The sequence below is a fragment of the Homo sapiens genome, chromosome 2 (assembly GCF_000001405.40).
Source record: "Homo sapiens chromosome 2, GRCh38.p14 Primary Assembly".
Lineage (NCBI taxonomy): Eukaryota > Metazoa > Chordata > Mammalia > Primates > Hominidae > Homo > Homo sapiens.
The window spans coordinates 48,140,120-48,159,116 of record NC_000002.12 but is presented as its reverse complement, the minus strand read 5'-3'; the positions used below and the strand labels follow the sequence as shown (position 1 = coordinate 48,159,116).

The following is an 18,997-nucleotide window of genomic DNA, read 5'->3' as shown; positions in this document are numbered from 1 at the left end:
TTAGGTTGTTTATTTGAAATCTTTCCACTTTTTTGATATAGGCATTTGTTACTGTAAACTTCCCTTTCAGCACTGTTTTTGCCGTATCTTATAGATTTTGGTGTGTTGTGTTTCTATTTTTATATTTTCATGGAATGTTTAAATTTCCTTCTTAATTTCTTTATTGACCCAGTGGTGTTTCAGGAGCATGTTACTTAATTTGTATGTATTTATACAGTTTCAAAGTTCTCCTTGTTATGGATTTCTAGTTTTAGAAATTGTGATCTGAGAAGATACTTTATATAATTTTGATTTTTAAAAATTTGTTAAGACTTGTAGTCTAACAAATGGTCTACACTAAAGAATGTTTCATGGGCTGATGAGGGGAACATTTATTCTATAGCTATTGGATAAAATGTTCCATAAATGTCTATAAGATCTATTTGGTCCACAGTGCAGATTAAATTCAATGTTTCTTTGTTGATTTTCTGTCTAGATGATCTGTCTAATGCTGAAAATGGGGTACAGAACTCCCCAACTATTATTGTATTTGGGTCCATCTTGCTCTTTAGCTCTAATAATATTGGCTTTATATATATGTTTAGAATTGTTGCATCCTCTTGCTGAATTAATATCTTTATCATTATATAATCACCTTCTTTGTCTCTTTTTATGTTTTTAGATTTAAGTCTATTTTATCTGACATAAGTATAGCTACTCCTGCATGCTTTTGGTTTCTGTTTGCATGGAATTTTTTTTTCCATCCCTTCATGATCAATCTATGTGTGTCTTTACAGATGAAGTGAGTTACTTGTAGGCAGCTATAGTTGGGTCTTGTTTTGTTATCAGTTCAGTAGTCTGTATATTTTAATTGGGAATTTTAAACCATTTACAGTCAAGGCTGTTATTGATAGGTGAGGACTTACTCCTGGTATTTTAATTGTTTTCTGATTTTTTGGTATGTTTTTTGTTCCTTTTTTCCTCTTTTATTATTTACCTTTACAATTTGGTGGTTTTTTGTAGCAATCATGTTTGAGTCCTTTTTCTTTCTCTTTTGTGAGTCTGTTGTGCCAGTGAGTTTTATACTTTTGTGTGTTTTTAGGATGGCAGATATCATCCTTTTGCTTCCAGATGTATGACTCTAAGCATTTATTGTAGAGCCAGTCTAGTGGTGATGAATTCCCTCCATTTGTGCTTGCCTGGGAAAGACTTTATTTGTCCTTCATATTTGAAGAATAGCTTTGCCGGATATAATATTCTTGGCTAACAGGTTTTTTGTTTTCTTTTTTTTTTTTTTTTTTTTTTTTTTTTTAGCACTTTGAATATATCACTCTATTCTGTCCTGGCCTGGAAGGTTTCTGCTGAGAAATTCTCTGTGACTGTAATGGGGATTTCCTTATATGTGACATGATGATTTTCTCTCACGGTTTATAGAATTCTCTCTTTGTCTTTGACTTTGACGTTTTAACTATAGGGAGCCTTGGAGAATCTTTTTGGGTTGAATCTATTGGGAGATCTCTGAGCTTCCTCTCTGGATCTCTATATCTCTTACAAGGCTTGGGAACTTTTCATCTATTATTTTGTTAAATAGGTTTTCTATGCCTTTGCCCATCTCTTCTTCCTCTGAAAATCCCAAAATTTGAATATTTGGTCACTTTATAGTATTGCTTTATATGTCATTAGGCTTTCTTCATTTTTAAAATTCTTTTTTTTTTCTTCCTTCCTTCCTTTCTTTCTTTGTTTCTGTTGTTGTTGTTGTTTGTTTGACTGGATTGTTTCTAAGTTCTTCCTGAACTTAAATTTCTGAATTCTTAATAAACTTGATCTAGTTTATTGTTGAAGCTCTTAATTATATTTTTATATCATTCATTAAATTCTTCAGTTCCACAATTTCTGTTTGGTTCTTTTTTTATAACATCTATCTCTTCATTAAATTTCTCATTTAGATCATGAATTGTTTTTTTTTAATTTCTTTGTAGTATTTATCTGTACTCACTGAGTTTCTTCAATATTATCATTTTAAATTCTTTTTCAGGCATGTGAAAGATTGTCTTTTCCTTGGGATCAGTTACTAGAGAATTGTTTGTTCCTTTGGATGTGTCATGTTTGCATTCTTTTCATGTTTCTTGTGTTCTTACATTGATATCTGCTCATCTGGTTTAATAGTCACTATTTTCAATTTTATGGGCTGGCTTTCTTAGGGAAGTGCTTTTTCTGTAGATACATTTACTACAGAAAACAAGGTCCTTTTGCTTTGGTTTTGGGTGGGTGCAGTAGTGTAGTTTCCATATGATTTCTTTGGCTGTAATCAGCATCAGTGGCATCTGTGAATTCCTCAATGGCTCAGGCTGCCAGTTGTTAGTAGAGGCTGTGGTAAGGCTTTTCTGGGGATGGGAATGCCAGGAGAGCCAGTCCTTAGGCATCAGTGGTGGTGGTGGGTTGGGCATACCAGGCTTCAGGTCCTCAAGTGGCATATGCTGGCATCACTGGAGGTGGATCCAGGCAGGTTGGTCCTTGGGCCTTCGGGTTGCGCCAAGTGGTGTATGTTGGTGGCAGCAGTAGCAGGGCAAGTGGCTGGGTTGTTGGGTCTTTCGGTGGCATTTGTGGTGCTGGTGGTAGCAGTAGCAGTGGTGAGCCAACTCTCAATCCCGTAAGCAGCATGCATGGGCACCAGTGATGGCAGTGACTGGCTGGGTGGGCTGATGCCCAGGTCCCCAAGTGGCACAAACAGGTAGGTACTGGTGACAGTGATGGCAAGTTGGGCAGGCTGGCTACTGGGCCTCTGGTACAGCACATGAATGCTGGTGGTGGGCTGGGTGGGCTCATCCTTAGGCCCCTGTATGATATGCATGGGTGTCAGTAGCAGTGGGCAAGGCAGGCTGATCCCCAACCCCCAGACAACATGCATGGGTGGCAGCGGCAGTTGAAGTGGATCAGGCCCCTGAACCATGTGTGTGCATGCCAGCAGTGGCAGACATGGTGGATCAATTTACAGGCCCCTGGATGACATGCATGGTTGGTGGTGGTGGGAGCAGCAGTGCGAGGGGTGGACCTGTCCTCAGTCTCCTTGGTGTGTGCAGGCACCAGCAGCAGGCAGGGTGTGTTGATTCCCAGGCCCCTGCACAATGCACTCAAGTTCTGGCAATGGTGGTAGTGGACAGGGTGGGCCTTTCCTCAGGCCCTGGGATGGTGCATGGGCACGCCAGTCATCAGGCTTCCTGAAGGTGCATGCAGGTGCATGATATCCCTGTTGCTAGAGGGAGTCAGGTTTTTTTCAGTTGTAGTGGCCCTGGGAAGGTGACTTTCAGGTTCTGGTGTGGGCACACTTTGGATCCCTTTGTCCCAGGAGCAGCTCCCTGGTGCACTGCACCATCCATTCCCCAGGGTGTGAGACATTGCATGGGCTAGAGTGCCGGGGACCCAGCTACACTTCTGGATCCATTCAGCATTGCAATGCTGCAGTCCTGTGAGTAGATGTGGGGAGATGTCAGCAGGACTTCAGGGATGTACAGATGCAGGGCTGTTAGGCCCCAGGGCAGGATACAGTCTGGTGGGGGTTGGGCTCTCAAAATGGCACCATGCTGCAGCTGCTTGCATCTCTGGAGTATATGGGACCCAGCATGAGCTCCCTTTCTGGAACAGCGCTGTCTTGTGGACTCCAGTCTCAGGGCCCACAAGGGCCAATGGGCTCTCCTATAGCTAGGACTGCAGGAATCCATGGTGGGAGTGTGGCCCACTGGGGCTTTCTCGCTTTCCTTTTACCTGCCTTGGAGAATTCCTCCTAGCTCTGAGCCAATCCTGGCTAGGCTGGCTGCTTTTCTTCCCTCTCCTTCCTTGCCTCAGAAGTTCCCTGCAACTTCCCTGATGAATTCCAGTATTCTCTCTTAGACACTCTATTTGAAGTATGATTATCGACTCATTGGTTTGGTCCTTCCTTGTGAAGGTGGTGAGTGCAGCATGCTTCTAGTCAGCCATCTTGAAAGCCCCTCATTTAATTAATCACATGCTAATCCTATGAGGGCAGCAGTATCCTCTGTTTACAGTCAATGAAATGGTGGCTTAGCAATATTAACCCCTTCCCCAAAGTTATTCAAAGTATTGGAGGCAGCTAGGACACAAAGCAAGGACTAGTGGGAGGTGAGGGTCTGGCCAGTCATGTTGTTCTTTAAGGAAGCACTTAAAACATAAGAATGCCTTTTGAGGAGGGTCTTTTGCTTTCTGCTGTAATATTGTATCTCCCAAAACAATCCCCTTCCCATACTTCTTCCAAGTCTGATGCTGGATAATCACCCAGAAGGCCAGGAGGACCCCACCGATCTAGAACTTGTCATGGTCCCCTATGCAGAGAACTGTTGTGCAACAGCAATTAGTATGTTATCAGCATAGACTGGATTTTGCAGTTTCAGATCATGTTTACAGTTAATACTATTTCAGTAATTATGTAAGGTAGAATAGGTTGATATCCTGTGGTGGTTTTTAGAAATCTGGTTGTTCACAACCAATTCATGACTTTAGGTATCCTAACAGATATCAAGGACCCATGTTTTCTCTTTTACAATTAACTATCTACACATAATTTTTTGTTCCATTCTGCATATTTTAAAAGCCATTATTTCTCAGTTTAAATAATCTGTATTGTTCAAGTAACAAAAAGATTTACAAAGATGCCAAGGACAGCAGAGTTGATATAAGTCATCTGTAACTCCTGCCGCTGTGTGCCCTAAGCCTTTCAGTCAGAACATGAGGGGACTTGGAAATTAAGTCACTCCTTGAGAGTTAACCCTATAAGCAAAACACATATTAGAATGGAATTCTGAAGAAGTGATGTAAAAGACAGACTATCTCCCAAGTCAAAAGCAGGAAATACCTGGAAATCTAATAATGATTTACCTGAAAGTAAAAAAAAAAAAAAAAAGCTGCAGTTCAATTACTAATGTTAATGTATGTACAGAAAAGGTGTCCATTTCCAGCAGTATGGCAAACTAAGTAACCTGGCCAACTCTCAGGTGAAAATAAAACATGGCAAAATTTAAGATCATCTCTTTAAATGCATTAGAAAGTAGCAAGAAAATGGAATACTATACCTAGCAAGAAAATAGAGAATACTCAGTCCAAAAACTAGGTGAATGGGTAGGGGTCATCTATTATGCGACCTAACGACACTGGGACCTAGTGTAAGAGTGAACTAGCAATAAACCTATTCTTTCCTCCTCTTCCATTAGGAAACTGCAGAGAGAATGATCCACCTCAAACCTTACTACAGAGTAGAAAAGAAAAACGAAATCTTAGCTGAGAATTTCAAACAAAACAAGTAGGCTTATAGTCTGAATTCACATTATCTAGATGGTCAAGCTAACAATAATTTAGTTTAAAGTGTTCTTGGACAAAATGCACCCTCAGACACCTGGCAGAAGGAAATCTACCTTCATTACAGGCCTCAAAAAACTCCCATAGATAAAATTCAATAGAAAATAATATGTAAACAAAATCACAAAATATGAAAGAAAACAAGATGCCATGATTAAAAGCCAGCAAAAGCTAGAGTTAACATAACCAGATCATCAAAGACTTCAGATACAGGAATTATCAGAAACAGAATATGAACTTAAAGAAAGAAAAAATAAGTAAAGAACAATAGTATAAAGAATGACTGGCCGGGCACAGTGGCTCACGCTTATAATCCCAGCACTTTGGGAGGCCGAGGTGGGCGGATCACCTGAGGTCAGGAGTTTGAGACCAGCCTGGCCAACATGGTGAAACCCCGCCTCTACTAAAAATATAAAAATTAGCTGGGCGTGGTGGCACGCGCCTTTAATCCCAGCTACTCGGGAGGCTGAGGCAGGAGAATCACTTGAACCTGGGAGCGGAGGTTGCAGTGAGCCGAGATGGCGCCATTGCACTCCAGCCTGGGTGACAGAGCAAGATTCCGTGTTAAAGAAAAAAAAAAAAAAGAATGACTGACTATGTAAGAAAAAGAACCAAGTAAAACCTGTAGAAGGAAAACTTAGCAGCTAAAACTATAAATCAATGATGGATTTGACAACTGATTAGATACAAAGAGAATTACTGACATAAATAAATTATAAAAGTTGTCTAAAATTTTGCATAAAGAAACAAAGATATGGAAATTATAAAAAAGAGAAAAGGACATGGATTAAGACAAAGTGAGGTTGAAATTGCACCCAGAGTTTCACAAAATGATGGTACATTGTATTTAACAACTTGGTTAGGCCATGGTATCCATATATTTGGTCAAACATTATTCTAGATGTTTCTTTTTTTTTTTTTTTTTTTTTGAGACAGAGTCTTGCTCTTTCACCCAGGCTGGAGTGCAGTGGTATGATCTCAGCTCATTGCAACCTCTGCCTCCTGGCTTCAAGCAATTCTCCTGCCTCAGCCTCCCAAGTAGCTGGGACTACAGGCGCCTGCCACCATGCCCAGCTAATTTTTTGTATTTTTAGTAGAGATGGGGTTTCACCATGTTAGCCAGGATGGTCTCGATCTCCTGACCTCGTGATTCACCCGCCTCGGCCTCTCAAAGTGCTGGGATTACAGGCGTGAGCCACCATGCCCGGCCTATTCTAGATGTTTCTGTAAAGGTATTTCTTAGATTATATTAACATTTAAATCAGTACACTTTGAATAAAAGGGATTTCCCTCCATAATATAGGTGGGCCTTATCTAATCAGTAGAAGGCATGAATAAGGGGGAAAAAAAAAAACCAACCTCCCAAAGCAAGAAGAAATTCTGCCAAAAGACTGCCTTTGAAATGAACTGCAACTCTTTCCTAGGTCTCCAAACTGTAAGCCTACCTTGCAGATTGTAAACTTGCCAAGCCTCTACAATCACATGTATAAAGAAATCTATCTATATCTATATCTACATATGATTTTGGTTCTGTTTCTCTGAACAACCCAAACTAATATACACAAGCAGACGAAATAAAAACACTCTCTGGAACAGAGAACACAGAAAAGCAATACTGAAGAGGTAATGCCTAAGAATTTTTCAGAACTGATCAAAGAAACCAGCACACAGATTCAACAATATTAATGAATCCCAAGCATAATAAATACAAAGAAATGTATAACTAGATACAACACAGTGAAACTGAAGTACACCAGAAGCAAAAATAAATTAATAAAAGTATCCAGAAAAGACAGGTTACCTTCAAAGGAGTGATAGTGGAGCTGACAGTATAGTTTTCATCAGCAACACTGAAAGTCAGAAGAGAATGAAATATCTTCAATGCATAGGAAAAATAATTAACCTAGAATTCTATGCTCAGGAAAAAAGTCTTTTAACAATTATGGAGAAAAACATATATTTTCAGATAAACAAACAGTGAAAGAATTTACCATAAGAAGGATCTTAGAAAATGAAGTTCTAAAGGATATATTTCAGGTAGAAGGAAGGTGATCTCATATGGCAAGCGTGGGGTACAAGAAGAATGAAAAGCAATGAAAGTAATAAATATGCAGGTAAAAAAATAAGCATTCACTGCATAAAATGGTAACAATGACATATTATTGAAAACCTGAAAACAAGAAGACTACAAATAAACAAAATCAAGATATCTTATTTTTAAAATTTCTTCCAGTTTCATGAAGACACATTCTCTATACCACTTTGTAAAATTTTTATTTTTGCTCTCATAATTGCATGTTTAATTCACCTGGAATTTATTTTTGTATAAAGTGTGAAGTAGATGTCTTTATTAGTCAGCTTTGCTGTAGTAACAAACAACTCTGCCTTCCAAATCTTTGTAGCTTGCACCAGCATATGTTATTTTTTATTCATATCAGTGTCAACAACTGCAATTTGGCAGCTTCAGCTCCACCCTAAGTGTATTCTCATTCCAGGACCCCCATGTCTTCTCATCCTGGGACCCAGACTGAAAGAATGGCCCTTTTTTGGGACATGCCATCCTTGTGACAGAAAGAAAGAGCAACATCCTACTACACAATGACTCTTAAATAATCTGTTCACATGTGGTACATACCAGTTTAAGCCAGACTCAGTGGAACAGAAGCATATACTCCTCCGACAGACAGGCACTGCAAATTATATGGCAATGGGTAGGAGTGTATAAGCCTCTAAAAGGAAAGGAAGAAAATATCATTTACAAATTCCCTAATTTCATTTTTTTGCATAATACCCCTGAAGTCTATTCTTTCTTCAGAGATCATAATTCAAGCTTTGTTCAAAAATTAAGTTTTCACACATATATGTGTCTGTTTCTGTGCTTTCTATTCTCACCCATTTCTTTTGTCCTGTTCAAAAACCACATTATCTTATTATTATAATTTTATAGTAAGTCTTGACAGCTGGTAAATCAAGTCTACCTACTTTGTTCAAAAGTGTCTTGATTATTCTTGGATCTTTGCCCTTCCATACATATTTATTGATTTCTGCAAAAACTTGTTGGGATCTTGAATTGATTTACATTACATCTATAGATCAATTCAGAAAGAATTGACATCTTGAATCTACCAGCTCATAAACTTGGCTATTTCAATCATCTTTAATTTTTTCAGTAATGTTTTATAGTTTCCTGAGTAGAGGTCTTCATATCTTGTCTTAGATTTATTCCTAAGTGTTACACTTTTGATGCTTCTGTAAATAATATATTTTAATTTTGTTTTTATTAGTGCTTTTATTTATTAATTTTTAATTTATGTATTAGATCTTCTGGATTTTCTTTTGGTGTAAAGAATGAGTCATTGGTTTAACTTTACATTGTATACAATATTAAGCCATTCAAACCAACATTACTTATTGAAAAGTACATCTGCTTTTTAATGTGGAATGCCATCTTTATCATACACTAAATTTCCATGAATGCTTGAATTTTTTTTCTCTATTCAGTTTCATGTATTTGGCCCATCTACCAATGATATTTAGTTATATATAGTTTTCCAGGTGCTATCTATTTCTTTGCTAATAGATAGGGTTTTTATTCCATCTCTTACCTTTATCTTTTCCCAGGTTAAGTAAAATTTTTTACTCTAATTGCTGATGCATAGACATGTAATTGATTTTTGTATATTGATATATTCAGTAACTTTGCTAAATCCTCTTAATTCTAATAACTTATTAGAATTTCATTTGGATTCTCTACAAGGCAATAATACTGTGCAGATTTCAGTTTTTTTCTTCCCTTTTAACTTTTATATTTTGTATTTCTTATTCTTCTCACTCCACTGACTAGGATTTCCAGTACAATGCTCAGTAAAAGTAGTATTAATGAGCATCTTCATTTAATTATCAATCTTGAAGAGAATGCTTTCAGTGTCTCAAAGTTAAGCAGCATGTTTGTTGGAGGGATTTCTTTTGGACACTCTTTATCACTGCGGGAGATAATATTTTTCAAACATGGCTGCAAGAATATTTCCAGTCCCACAGGCTCTTCCAGAATGTTGCCACTTCTCCATGAAGAGGTGAATTCTATATACCCTACCCTTCAAACCTGGATGGGCATTTGTACCTGAATTGGCTAACAGTGTACAATAAATGTGAAGTTCTATTACTTCTGAGCCTACATCATAAAAACTGATACAACTTCCTAATTCTCTTTTTTGGGACATGTGCCACTGAAGCCCTATACTACCATGGGAAGCCCAGATACCTTGAAGTCACAATGCTGGAGAGACCATGTAAAGAAACCAGATAGAGATGAGTGTGCCCAAATAACCCCAGTCGTTCTAGGTTCCAGATGTTCAGGCCTTCCCAGCTCAGGCACCAAACATATAAGAAGCCTCGAGATGATCCCATCCATCACTGTGATGGCAACATTATGAAACCCCAAGCTACAGCCACCCAAATGAGGTGTTTCTGAATTTCTTGACCTACAGAATTCATGAGAAAAAAGAAATAATTGTTGTTTCAAGCCAGTAAGTTTTTGGGTGATTTGTTAACACAACAGTAGTTATAATAAAAACAAACAGACCATATGGAGAGATCTCATACAGATAGGGATGCCTGAAGTGCCCCAGCTGTTCCAGCACCCTGATGTCTGAGTCTTTCCAGCCCAGGAACCAAACATGTGAGTGAAGAAGACTTAGCAATGAACCCAGCCTCAGCCACCGACTGACTGCAACATCATGATAACCAGAGCCAGAACCACTCAGCTGAACCACACCCAAATTCTTGAGCCATAGAAGGTACAGAAGATAATAAATAATTATTATAGTGATAAGCCACTACATTTTGGCTTGATTTGTTCTACAGCAATAAACAGAAGAGTCAAATTAAGAAAATGACTTTCTATTCCTATTTTGTTTGAGAGGCTTTTAAAAAATCCATAAATGGATATTTAATTTTATCAAGTTATTTTCCTGCATCTTTTTAGATAATCACATAATTTTTCTCCTTTAATGTGTTATCATGGTGAATTACACTAATTGATTTTTCACTGTTTAAGCCAATCTTTCTTTGCTGGGATAAACCAACTTGCTCATGATGCATTACCTTTTTAAGAAATCATTTCACAGACATTTATTTATGATTAAAACTATGAAATGCACTTATAATAAAACAACATGCTCACAAAGAATAACAAAAACAAATTAAAAGAACTGTATTTGTTCATTTAACAACTCTTAAGAAAATCCATACAATTCCATATAAAATATTGTACTTTCATTTTCACTTCTTTCTTTTAAAGAGAGAAAAATACCTATTACTTTATGTTGATTTTGCACAAATAAAATGTTTCTTCCCTTTTTAGTGTCTAAAATCGTATGCCCAAAAACATACTAAATTTTTGGTATAAATTTTGTTTTTTTCAAATTCTATAATTAATGTTGATTTAAAATATACCTACTTTGGTGTAATAACACTGTTTAAAGATCACATGTATTGATCCAATTCCATTTACACTGGGGTCAAATTAAATTCTTCCCAAAATATTCATAGGATCTTAAGTTTCTAATGGCTTTTTTTCTATTAGTAATGGAAATTTAACCTTACTAAGAAAAATTAGCAGTCTGTTTTTCTTTGTGTGATTTTGTTTTTCTTTGGTCTTTTTAATACATTGCTTGATTCAATTTCCTAAAATTTTGTTTAGAATTCTGAATCAAAGCCCATTAGTGGAATTGATCTGTAATTTCTATTCTCATACTTACCTTGTCAGATTTTGGCATACAGTTTATACAAGCCTCACAAAATTAGCTCTGGAATGTTCCCTCTTTGGGTAAGCTCTAGAATAATTTGTGTAACACTGAACAAATGTGTTCTTCAAATATTTGATAGAACTTGCCAGTAGAACTGCCTGGGCCTAGAGTTTTCTTTATGAGAATATTTTTAACTACTGATAGAATAACTCTTATGATTGTAGGGCTATTTGTATATTCTGATTATTCTTGAAACAATTTTAACAAATTTTATATGTTTCTATTTTAGAAATTTGTTTACTTAATGTAGATTTTCAAATTTATTTAAATAAGGTTAATTCTAAAACTCTTTTAATATCTTTTAAATATCTGTTATATCTGGAACTGTATCCCTTTCTTCATTTGTAATGCTTCCTCTTCTTGGCCAGTTGTGCCAAAGCATTGTCAATTTGATTATTTTTTTCCTAAGAAGCAATTTATGGCTTTATCAGTTCTGTAGGATATTACTTACTGTTACTTTAAATTCTATCTTATTTCCTTTTCTTTTCTTCTCTTTTTTTGGGGGGGCAGGGGGATGGAGTCTTGCTCTGCTGCCCACGCTGGAGTGCAATGGCATAATCTCGGCTCACTGCAACCTCTGCTTCCTGGGTTCAAGTGATTCTCATGTCTCAGCCTCCATAGTAGCTGGGATTACAGGTGCCCACCACCATGCCTGGCTAATTTTTTTTTATTTTCAGTGGATACGGGGTTTCACCATGTTGGCCAGGCTGGTGTTGAACTCCTGACCTCAAGTGATCCACTCGCCTCGGCCTCCCAAAGTGCTGGGATGACAGGTATGAGCCACCGTGCCCGGCCATTTCCATTACTTGGGCTTATCCTGCTACTCTTTTGGGGATTTCTTAAATTAGAAGATTCAGTCATTAATTTTTGACCTTTCTTCTTCTTTAATATTCTTTAATATATGCATTCTAAGGCTGTAGATTTCTCTCTAACATCTGTCTTTAGCTTCCCTCCACAGATTTTGATCTGGAGTATTTTCATTATTGTTTAGTTCAAAATACTGTCTAATCTCAGTTATTTCTACTTCTGTCTAGGATGTAGAAAGCTGTAAAGAGTGTTACTTTCACTCTAACCAGAAGAAAAAAACAGATACAGTCAGCGCAGTAGCTCACCCCTGTAATCCCAACACTTGGGGAGGCCGAGATGGGTGGATCGCTTGAGGTCAGGAGTCTCAGACCAGGTTGGGCAACATAGTGAAACCCCATGTCTACAAAACATACAAAAAATTAGCTGGGCGTCGTGTCTGGCACCTGTGGTCCCAGCTACTCAGGAAGCAAGGCTGAGGCAAGCGGATAGCTTGAGCCTGGGAGTTGAAGGCTGCAGTAAGCCATTATTGTACCACTGCACTCCAGCTTAGGGGACAGAGCAAGACCCTGTCTCAAAAAAAAAAAAAAAAAAAAAAGAAAGGAAAATTTAAAAAAGGAAAAAGCTAGATACACTACAAAATTATAACTTTTTTAAACCCATCAGAAAACTGGTCAGTCTGAATTCCAGAAATGAATGGGCCTTTCCAAGGAGAGAAAGGACAAGTGTACTGGTTCACTGGTGGCAGAGCATGGGAGGGAGCGCAGGTAATAGGTAAGGAGAAATCAACTAAGGGCCAGGTGGGTCTGGGATGTTAGTCTGGAATAGCTGGGGGCCCCAGGCATAGTAGGAGCTTGCACTCACTCACAGGCTCTTTTCCATGAGCCTTCACTGGGTACTAAAGAGAAAGATTGGGCCCCTTTATGTTATCTACTCTCATTGAGTGTGGGTGGGACTTGTGGCTTGCCGCTTTAGAACACTGCAAAGCTGATGAAATTCCTTTCTGTGATTACATTACACAAGGTTGTTGTCTCCCTTTTGCTAGCGGACTTGACAGACTCTCTTGCTGGCTTTGAAGAAGGAAGCAGCCATGTTGTGAGCTGCCCTGTGGAAAGGCCCGTGTAGCAAGGAACTGAGGGCAGCTTCCAGTGGACAGTGAGCAAAATGAGACCCACAGTGCTAAGGCTGCCAAAAATGGAACGCTGCCATTATGCACACAAGTGAGCTTGGAAGCTAATTCCAAACTCCCAAGTCACTTCTAGTCTAGAACTCGTGGTTTAAAGCTTTTGGGATTACCAAAAGGGCTGGCTTTTGTTTATCAATTATCAGTGATGATATTTTCTCTCCACTTCTTCTGTGCCATGCAACATTCCCTAAAGTCCTCTCTGTGTGTTTGCATATGTGTTGGGATGGTGTGTTTATTTTTTTCTCCCTACAGTGAGGCCATAGCCCTACAGCGAGGAATCCCCAATGTAATGGGCTGATTCTCCCATTGATTTACCAGTTTTAGAGTCCTTTACGCTTCATCTTCTGTCTCCAACTTCAGCAAGCTGTGAAAACCAACTTAAGCTTAAGTTTGCCAAGTTAGGCAAATGTTCTTGGGAGAGATGTGATTTTAATAGTCTTTGAGTCCCTTCTTTCACTTTCATATTTGGCCTAGTAATTCTTCACTATTTTAGCATCATTGAATACTTCTTAGAATAAATTTTAAATTGTATTTTATTCTGTCTTTCACTTATTTTCTTCTCTTTTGTTTTCAGGACTATTTGTGGGTCTAGTAAATACCTAGACAACCATGCTATTGGAGATAGAAATCTAGTCTCTTGTTTTCATTCTTTTTTTCATAAAATAAGATAGGTGTGTAAAGTTATGAGTTTTCCTTTGAATGCAACTTTAGCCATTTCCCAAAAGTTTTGCTATAAATTGCTCTCCTTTTGTTAATGTCTAAATAAATTGTGACCTCTGGTTTTATTTCCTCGTTGATTCAGGGGATATTTTGGGAAGCATTCTTTAATTTTAAAGTGGTTATGAGAGAATACTTGCCGTGGCCAACTTAGGATAAGCTGAGACTACTACCCCCCCACCCCACTACTACTGTGGCTGGTGCTCTCTAAAACCTGGCTGGAAGCCAACCAACTCAGGCCATTACAAATACTCATGACAGAATAACCCTGCTCTCAGGAAGAAGAAAACAACAGCTTATTCCACTGACTGCCACATCCTGGCTAACCAGAGGTCCTGAGTCTGTGCACGTGACAACTTCACTGCTAGCATCACCAGCATTTGAGAAAGTCAGCACACTAAACCTGTCTTCAACCAAGGACTCTCACAGAGTCTACTTCACTCCCCTGCCACCTCCACCAGAGCAGGTGCTGGCATCCACAGCTGGGAGACCTGAAGACAGCTCACATCACAGGACTCTTTGCAGACATTCCCCAGCACCAGCCCAGAGCCTGGTAGTCCTGCTGGGTGCCTAGACCCAGAAGAGTAAAAAGAATCGCTACAGGGATTACTCAGGAAGTCCTACCCCTAGGGGAATGGGGAGAGCACCCAATGGAGGAAAAACCCTGTGGGACAAAAGAATCTGAACAGCAGGCCTTGAGTTCCAGAACTTTCCACTGATATAGTCTACCCAAATGAAAAGGAACCAGAAAAGCAATTCAGGTAACATGACAAAAGGTTTCTATAACACCCACCAAACGATCACATTGCTGATTTGGACCCCAGCAATGGATCCAAATCAAGAAGAAATTTCTGAATTGCCAGATAAAGAATTCACAAGGTTGATTATTAAGCTACTCAAGGAGATACCAGAGAAAGGTGAGAACCAACTTAAAGAAATTTTTAAAAAATACAAGATATGGATGAAAAATTCTCCAGGAAAATAGATATCATAAAGAAAAAACAATCACAACTTCTGGAAATGAAAGGCACACGTAGAGAAACACAAGATGCACTGGGAAGTTTCAACAATAGATTAGACAGGTAGTGGAAAGAACGTCAGAGCTCAAAGACAGGGCTTTTGAATTAACTCAATCAGACAAAGACAAAGTAATTTAAATAAATGAGCAAGGCCTCTGAGAAATTTGGAATTATGCAGTTTTTTGTTTTTTGTTTTTGTTTTGTTTTGTTTTTTTGTTTTTTTTGAGACAGAGTTTCGCTCTTGGTGCCCAAGCTGGAGTGCAATGGTGCGATCTCAGCTCACTGCAACCTCCACCTCCTGGGTTCAAGCAATTCTTCTGCCTAGTCTCCCTAGTAGCTGGGATTACAGGCGGGTGCCATGACACCCAGATAACTTTTGTATTTTTAGTAGAGATGGGGTTTCACCATGTTGGTCAGGCTGGTTTTGAACTCCTGACCTCAGGTAATCCACCCGCCTTGGCCTCCCAAAGTGCTGGGATTACAGGCATGAGCCACCCTCCCCCGGTGGTTTTGTTGTTGATGTTGTTTGTTTTTGAGATAGAGTCTTGCTTTATCACCCAGGCTGGAGTGCAGTGGCATGATTTTGGCTCACTGCAACTCGGCCTCTCAGGTTCAAGCAATTCTCATGCATGAGCCTTCCAAGTAGCTGGGATTACAGATGTGCACCACCACGTCCAGCTAATTTTTGTATTTATAGTAGAGATGGGGTTTTACCATGTTGGCCAGGCTGGTCTCAAACTCCTGGCCTCAAGCGATCCTCCTGCCTTGGACTCCCAAAGTGCTGGGATTACAGGTGTGAGCCACTGTGTTTGGCCCTGGAATTATGTTAAATGGCCAAACCTATGAATAATTGGTGTTTCTGAGGAAGAAGAGAAATCTAAAAGTTTGGAAAACTTATTTGATGGAATAATTGAGGAAAACTTCCCTGGCCTTGCTATAGATCTAGACATGCAAATAAAAGAAGCTCAAAGAACACTTGGGAAATTCATCACAAGAAGATCATCACCTAGGCACATAGTCATCAGGTTATCTTAAGTCAAGACAAAGGAAAGAATCAGCTGTGAGACAAAAGCATCAGGTAACCTATAAAGGAAAATCTATCAGATTAACAGCAGATTTCTCAGCAGTAACCTTACAAGCCAGAAGGGATTGGAGTCATATTTTTAGCCTCCTAAAAAAAAAATTGTCAGATTTTGTAAAATTTTGAAAAGAAGGGAGAAGGTCCAAATAAACTCAATTAGAAATGAAACAGGAGATATTACAACCAATATCACAGAAATAAAAAAGATCATTGAAGCCTACTATGAACACCTTTACATGCACAAACTAGAAAATCTAGAGGAGATGGATAAATTGGTGGAAATATATAACCCTCCTAGATTATATCAGAAAAAAATAGAAACTCTAAATAGACCAATAACAAGTAGCAAGATTGAAACAGGAATTTAAAAATTGCCACCAAAAAAAAAGTCTAGGACCAGATGGATTCACAGCTGAATTCTATCAGAAATTCAAAGAATTGATATCAATTTTACTGAAACCATTCCAAAAGATAGAGAAAGAGGGAATCCTCCCTTAATCATTCTATAAAGCCAGTATCACCCTAATACCAAAACCAGGAAAGGACATAACAAAAAAGGGAATCTACAGACCAATACCCCCAATGAACATAGATGCAAAAATCTTCAACAAAATACTAGCTAACTGAATCCAACAGCATATCAAAAAGATAATATACCACAATCAAGTGGGTTTCATACCAGGAATGCAGAAATGGTTTAACATGCACAAGTCAATAAATATGATGCATCATATAAACAGAATTAAAAACAAAAAATCATATGATCATCTCAATAGATGCAGAAAAAGCATTTGACAAAGTCCAATATCCCTTTGTGATTAAAACCCTCAGCAAAACCAGCATAGAAGGGACATATCTCAAGGTAATAAAAGCCATCTATTACAAATCCACAGCCAACATTATACTGAACAGGGAAAAGTTGAAAGCATTCCCCCTGCTAACTGGAACAAGACAAAGATGTCCACTTTCACCACTTCTATTCAACATAGTACTGGAAGTCCTAGCCACAACAATCAGATGAGAAAAAAATAAAGGGCATCCAAATTGGTAAAGAGGAAGTTAAACAGTTGTTGTTCACCAATGATATGATTGTATACCTAGAAAACCCTAAAGACTCATCCAAAAAGCTCCTAGATCTGATAAATTAATTCAGTAAAGTTTCAGGATACACAAATCAGTAGCACTGCTATACACCAACAATGACTGAGATCAAAGCTGAGAATCAAATCAATAACTCAATCCCTTTTACAATAGCTGCAAAAACATAAAACACTTAGGGATATACCTAACCAAGGAGGTGAAAGACCTCTACAGGGAAAACTACAAAACACTGCTAAAAGAAATCATAGTTGACACAAACAAATGGAAAAACATCCCATGCTCATGGATGGGTAGAATCAATATTGCGAAAATGACCATACCACCAAAAGCAATCTACAGATTTAATGCAATTCCCATCAAAATGCCATCATCGTTCTTCACAGTACTAGGAAAAACAGTGGTAAAATTTATACCCAAAAAGAGCCCAGATAGCCAAAGCAAGGCTAAGCAAAAAGAACAAATCTGGAGACATCACACAATTTGACTTCAAACTATATTACCAGGCTGTAATTCCCAAAATAGCATGGTATTGATACAAAAATAGGCATGTAGACCAGTGGAACAGAATAGTAAACCCGGAAATAAAGCCAAATATTTATAGCCAACTGATCTTCAATGAAGCAAACAAAAACAAAGTGGGGAAAGGACACTATTCAACAAATGGTGCTGGGATAATTGGCTAGCAACATGTAGAAGAATGAAACTGGATCCTCATCTCTCACCTTATACAAAAATCAAACTCAAGATGATCAAAGATTTTAAGATCTGAAGCCATAAAAAGTCTAGAAAATCACATCAGAAAAACTCTTCTAGACATTGGCCTAGGCCGGGAGTTCATGACCAATAACCCAAAAGCAAATGCAACAAAAGCAAAAATAAATAGATAGGACCTAATTAAACTAAAAAGCTTCTGCACAGCAAAATAAATAATCAGTAGAATAAACAGACAACCCTCAGAGTGGGAGAAAATATTCACAAATTATGCATCTGACAAAGGACTAATATCCAGAATCTACAAGGAACTCAAATAAATCAGCAAGAAAAACAAAGAATCCCATAAAAAGTGGCCAAATGATATGAAAAGATAATTCAAAATAAGATATACAAATGGCCAATAAACACATGAAAAAATGTTCAACATCACTCATTATCAGGGAAATACAAATTAAAACCATAATGAGCTACCACCTTATTTATGATTTTAAATTATGGCAAGAATGGCCACATTTTAATAAATTAATAAATAAATTAATTAATTTTTATTAATTAATAATTAATTAATTAATAATTAATAAAAAGGATGTTGGCATGGATGTGATAAAAAGGGAACACTTTTTTACACAGCTTATGGGAATGTAAACTAGTACAAACACTATGGAAAACAGTATGGAGACTTCTTAAGGAACTAAAAATAGAACTACCATTTGATCCAGCAATCCCACTACTGGGTATCTACCCAGAGAAAAAGAAGTCATAAGACTCTCGCATACACGTGTTTATAGCAGAACAATTCACAGTTGCAAAAATATGGAACCAGTCTAAATGTCCATCAACCAACGAACAGACTAAAGAACATGTGATATATATATGTATATATATATATATATATATACACCATGGAATACTACTCGGCCATAAAAAGGAACAAAATAATGGCATTTACTGCAACCTGGATGGAGTTGGAGACCATCACTCTAAGTGAAGTAACTCAGGAATGGAAAACCAAATATCGTGTGTTCTCACTTCTAAGTGGGAGCTAAGCTATGAGGACACAAACGCGTAAGAATGATATAATGGACTGTGGGGAAATGACAGAAAGAGTGGGAGGGAGGTGAGAGATAAAAGGACTACACATTGAGTACAGTGTACGCTGCTCAAGTGATGGGTGCACCCAAATCTCAGAAATCACCACTGAAGAACTTATCCGTGTAACCAA

The 18,997-nt window shown here is 38.0% G+C and overlaps 1 long non-coding RNA gene across 1 annotated transcript in view, besides 1 other annotated feature; it reads left to right on the top strand.

Annotated features, from left to right (window-relative positions):
- LOC105374593 (uncharacterized) overlaps window positions 1-18,997 on the top strand; it is a 56,709-nt gene that overhangs the window by 6,294 nt on the left and 31,418 nt on the right. The window lies entirely within an intron of this gene.
- Window positions 2,338-2,837: an enhancer, noted in NCBI's record as "H3K4me1 hESC enhancer chr2:48383419-48383918 (GRCh37/hg19 assembly coordinates)". NCBI's record gives its function as "activates a minimal SCP1, AML or CMV promoter by ChIP-STARR-seq in naive H9 embryonic stem cells {active_cell/tissue: H9 hESC(naive)}" and the evidence as "EXISTENCE:reporter gene assay evidence [ECO:0000049][PMID:30033119]".